The sequence below is a fragment of the Homo sapiens genome, chromosome 5, assembly GCF_000001405.40.
Source record: "Homo sapiens chromosome 5, GRCh38.p14 Primary Assembly".
Classification (NCBI taxonomy): domain Eukaryota; kingdom Metazoa; phylum Chordata; class Mammalia; order Primates; family Hominidae; genus Homo; species Homo sapiens.
Genome location: NC_000005.10, coordinates 174828310 through 174834309, shown reverse-complemented (window position 1 = coordinate 174834309; position 6000 = coordinate 174828310).

Here is a 6000-nt window from a genome sequence, read left to right as displayed (position 1 = left end):
TTGCAGTCCTCAGATGGTTACAAGGGCACCGGTTTTTGCCAAGTCAAATTATTTGACAGAAATGGGCCGTGAAATGCCTGCTAATTGCTACAAGATTTAACAGGGAGAGAAGGGCCTGAAAACAGGAGGCGGGGAAGTGTGTTGTCAGTCTTTCATGTGGGAAGCTGGGGAGCTGGGGATAACAAGACATAATGAGCCTTCTTCTCTGAGCTCCAAATTACTAGGATCATTTTATCCTGTTGAAAGAAGGATGAAGCTTTTTAAAATGGGCAATTATGACATATTTTTTTCATTGTTGTTGAGAAAGCTAAACCCCAAAGATCGCAGCTATTTTTGAGGAGTTTTCAAAAGGCACTCATGCCATTGTTGAGCTCATCATCTCAGGCTCCAGGGAGAGGTTTATTTGCCATGATAATCCTGCTTGATCCCCTCTCTCCATACCTGACAGGTCTTTGCAGTGTTTCTTCTCACACATTCTAGTAATGCCCTGGAATCAGACCATGGGGCCCTTAAACCAACTGAAGGAAACTGTTACCAAATAACCAGCAATGCCTCTGTTGAGCCTTGAAAGGTTACTGAAAGTGTCTGTAATCTTACTTTGTGTTCCCTTGTTGTCTGGTCTTTGGAATGTATTCCTTAAATCATGTCATCTCCCCCACCAATCTAACACCTTCACTAACTACCCCGTCCAGCAAGTCTGGTCCAAAGGCTACTGCCTCTAGAATTGAATCCTCAACTCCTTGACCAATCTTATCTTTTCTCCCCACAATCATTCATTCATGCATTCATTCATTCATTTAACACACACAGGATGAGCAAGTCGTATGTTCTGGACATTATAACAGGTGCTAGAGAAGTCTGCCAAGGAGGAGAGACAGTCAAGAAGGTAGGAGGTCATAATACAGTATAAGAAGCTTTGTTGAGTTAAGATGAAGGGCTTTGGGATACAGAGAACTTGACACCCGGACTAAGCGTTAAAGGAAGAGGACACATATAGAGACATATTTAGACAACAGAAGCTATAGGACTTGAAGTCCTGGTGGGCTATGGGGATGAATGTGAAGCTCAGGTTTCAGCCTTAGGCAGTTAGATTCCATTAGTGCTCTGGTTTAAATGTGTCCCTCATATTTCATGTGTTAGAAACTCAGTCTCCAAATTTATATGTTGATTGGAGATGGGACCTTTGGGAGATAATTAGAATTAGGTAAGGTCATCAGGATTGGGGCTGCACGATGAGACTGTTGTCTTTACAAAAAAACAGGAAGAGAAACCTGATCACACATGCATGCTCTTGCCCTCTCTCCACATGATGCCTTCTGTCATGTTATGACACATCAAGAAGGTCCTTACAAGATGCAGCCTCAGGACCTTGGTCTTCTCAGCCTCCAGAAACATGAGGCAAACAAAACTCTTCTTTTATGAAATGTCCAGTCTGTGATATTCCGTTATAGCAACAAAAAACCAGACTAGGACAGTACTAAGAGAGGAATCATGGAGAAGAAATTGGTTTGACAGGTGGGGGAATGAGCTTCTTCAGGGACATGCTGACCAACAGGAGCTTGTGGAGAGCCAGCAGCAGGTGCCCTGTGGGAGGTTGCTTATGGGAATCTGCAGCACAGGTGAAAGGTTCAGGCTGGAGAGAGAGACAAGGGAGCGGTTGGCTGAAAGATGGGCATCAGAGCTTTGGGTATGAACAAGACAATGTGAGAAGATGGGTCCCTGATGAAGAGCCCTGGGGAACACCATCAGTTAAGGGGTCATATTGAAAAAGACAGACTGCAGAGGGAAAACAAACTCATGTATGGGGCCTGGGCACTGAAAATTCAAACCTGTGCTTTCTCCAGTGGGGACAGTCAAATAGCAGTGCTGAGAAGGGTTGTCAGTCTTTCATGTGAGGAGCTGGGGATAACAAGACATAATGAGCTGAGAAGGGTCAGCTTCATAAAAGCAGGGAGGAGATTTGAGATGAAAATGGCAATGACTCTCAACATGCTCCTTCCTCTTTATTGTGTAATAAAGAATTTGGCTGGCTTCTGTCACCAGTTCCTGGGAGGTGGCCTCTAAATCTTCGGAATTTCCCAAGTGATAAGAGTGTTTTTGTTTTGCGGTGGATCTCTCAGACCACACCTGATATGCTAATGAGGTGACTTAGAACGGAGACTGAGCATGTCAGAAGAACCAGCCATGTTGTTAGGGAACAGGAGCCTTGAGCCACATGATATCAGCCCAACCTCTAGCCCAGCCTAATAGAGAGTGCTTAGAGTTTGAGTCTCATGGGCAATGATTCAATCAATCATGCTTACATAATGATGCTCCAATAAAATCTCTGGACATTGCAGCTTGGGTGAGTTTCCTTGGCTGGCAATACTCTGTGTATTGTCACACATTGATATACTAAAGCGTCCTGACTCCACAGTGAGAAAAAACAAAAGCTTCATGTTTGGGACCCTCCCAGAACTCACCCTATGTCTTTCTCCTTATGGCTGATTCTGATTTGTTTGCTTTATAATAAAACTGTAATCACAAAGAGACCGCTTTCCTGCATGCTGTCAATCATTCTAGTGAATTGACAGAGTAGAAAGAACCCCCAAATTTGCAACCAGTTGGTCAGAAGTTCTGGTGGCCTTGGGATCCCTGAAGTTGTGACTGATGTCTAAAGTGAGAACAGTTTTGTGAAGAACTGAGCCTTAACTTGTGAGGTTTGGCTCAACTCTGGGTATCTGTGCCAGAAGTTCTTAAAAGTTATTGTGTTCCAAGGATAGGCACTAATATTGATGAGTTCTTTCTTTGGGCTAAGCACCTCACATGCAGTTTCTCACTTCATCCTAGATTCAAAGCTATGAGGGAAGTGCTAAGTATTATCATCCACATGTTACAGACAAAGAAACAGTTCTCAAAGTTAGGAATCCTGGCCAAGATTATGCATCTAGGAAGTAAGGGAGCCAGAACTGAGCCCAACCAACCAAAACCCATGCTCTTAACCATTCTACTAAACTTCTTCCCAGCAAGATACTCGTCTTCATGCTTGATCTGGGATGTCTAGCAGAGTAGTTAAAATGAGCTTATTCATTAATTTATTCAGCCATATTACTGAACACCCTCTGTGTATCATCCATGAATAAAACAATGATCTCTGGTTTCATAGAGCTTATATTCTAGCTAGTGGAATGAAGATCATGGACTTTGGCTTTTACTCTTAATGAGATGCAGAGCCGGAAAGCTATTGCTTGGTTTTAAGCAGAGGAGAGTGGCATGACCTAATTTATATTGTAAAAGAATCACTCTGGCTGCTGCACTGAGTATAGTCTTGTGTGGGCAAGAGTAGAGTCAAGGAACCCTGTAGAAAGCCACTAAAGCCATCAAACCAGAAATAATGGTGAATGATGGTGGCTTGAGCAAGACTGGGAACCCTGGAAGTGGTCAGATTGTAATAATAATAATTATTGATAATAATAATGTTCATAGCAGAACTAGCAAGATTAACTGATGAATTTAGGATGTGACAGAAAGAGAGGAATGAAGAATGACTCCAAGATTTGGGATTAAGAAACTTGGAGGATGAAGTTGCTATTATCAGCTAAGGTAGGGTAGCTTGTGTGAGAAGCATTTGGGGGCTAGAAGTGAAGGAGAAAAGGTATGATGTTTAGCTTAGATGGTTGAGTTTGAGATGCCTCTCAGACATCCAAGAGGAGATGTCACTTACACAATTTTCTATTCTATACTCATTTGTTTATTTACTTGAGAGTGTAGACTTTGGCATCAAACCATGTGGAGAAAATTCCATATTCAGTCCCAACCAGATATGTCATCTTAGGGAAGTCGGTGTATCCCTCTGGGCTTTATTTAATTTCCTCATCTGCAGATTGTGTTAACAATTATACCTCCTGTTATTGTTAATAGGACCCAGTGAAATAAGTCACTGAAGCACTTAGGACAGCGCCTAGAATCACATGTAATCACTCAGCAAGTGTTAGCCATTTTGTTGCTCTTTGGAAAGCCTCCACTAGTGGACTTTAAGCTTCATGGGAGCAGAGCTCTTACCTGATCTGTAAGCACTCAGTAGTTGCTGGATGAATACCTTGTTGCACAAGATTGGGCCGACACAAACCAATTCCAAAACATTGAAAGAGGTTTTTATTATTCCCTCAGGTTTGACAATTCACTAAAATAATTGACAGAACTCAGGAAAGCACTGTCTTTGTGATTACAATTGTATTATAAAGCATACAAATCAGAATCAGCCATAGGGAGAGAGACATAGAGTGAGCTCTGGGAGGGTCCCAAACATGAAGCTTCCATGTCTTCTCCCTGTGAAGTCAGGACTCTTTAGAACATCAGTGTGTGACAATACACAGAGTATTACCAGCCAAGGAAACTCACCCAAGCTGCCATGTCCAGAGATTTATTGGAGTTTCATTATGTAAGCATGATCGATTAAATCATTGGCCATAAGACTCAAACTCTAGATGCCTTTTTACAGGCTGGGCTAGAGGTTGGGCTGATATCGTGTGGCTCAAGGCCCTCATTCTCTAATCACGTGGCTCAGTCTCCATTCTACGTCATCTCATTAACATAAGTTCAGGTGTGGTCTGAGGAATCCACCGCAAAAAACAAAGACACTTCTATCACTTGGGAAATTCCAGTGTTTCAGAGGCCACCTCCCAGGAACTGGTGACAGAAACCAGACAAATTATTTATTACACAATAAATTTGCAGTGCACACAAATGGACTTGGCTTTCAATTTTCTCCAACTGTTCCTATTTAGATTCATGCTCTATCGTTCTAGAAGCCATCTCAATACTCTTGGGAAAGTCAGGACTTTTGTACCCAGTCATGAATCAACAATGTGACATTTGATACCGGATAGCGTTTTCATGAAGCATTGAGCCTCTTACATCTTATCTTATTTTGAGTGTCATTATCCGTGACACACTTTAATGGTGAAACAACAGCTGTATAAAATTCAGCCAAGCTCATTTTGAAAAAAAAAAAAAAAAGAGCCACTGGAATCAGTGATTCACGTCTGATTTGGAGTCTTCGTTAGATGAGCTTTCCTCTAGAAACAGCAATCTCATTTAGTCATTTGGACTCAAAACTTTGCAGTCGCAAAATATAAGGTATCATCTGGCACAAATGTCTTATTTTACTGATGAAACTGATGCCTAGAAAAGGGAAGCAAATTTCCAATGTCATACCATGAGTTGAGGAAGCACCAGAACGCTTCACAGGCTGAGAAACTCAGGGGAAAATAAAATGAGATCAGATGGCCCAGAAAGTATTAATAGAAAAATTTGCCTCTGCTTCTCATTGCCAGGAATGGGGAGGAGGTGCTCTCACACCCGTGTTTTCCATTAATTTTAAAGTTGACAAGTAATACGTGAATATTCCCCTAACTATTTTTACACTGCACATGAAGCTGATGTCTCCTCTGGCCACCACACTTAAACCCACTTTTCTTTTATTTCTGAGACAGAGTCTCACACTGTCGCCCAGGCTGGAGTGCAGTGGTGTGATCTCAGCTCACTGCAACCTCCACCTCCTGGGTTCAAGCGATTCTCCTGCCTCAGCCTCCTGAGTAGCTGGGATTACAGGCATGTGCCACCACGCTCAGCTAATTTTTTTTTTATATTTAGTAGAGATGGGATTTCACCGTGTTAGCCAGGATGGTCTTGATCTCCTGATCTCGTGATCTGCCCACTTCGGCCTCCCAAAGTGCTCGGATTACAGGCATGAGCCGCTGCGCCCGGCCCCACTTTTCTTTGTGTCTCCCCATGAGAATTCACTGTCATCAATTTAGTGTGTCTCCTTCCCAAAGCTTCCCTCTATCATTACAAACATATGCGTGATTACCCATAAAAGTATATTAGTATTGTTTAGTGTAACCTATTTATATAAATAGTACCATATTCTTTGTATTATTTTGCAAGTTGTTTTTTCACCCTCAGCCGTGTAACTTTAGAGTTCTTTCTGTATAAGTACATGTAGATCTATCTCGTTCT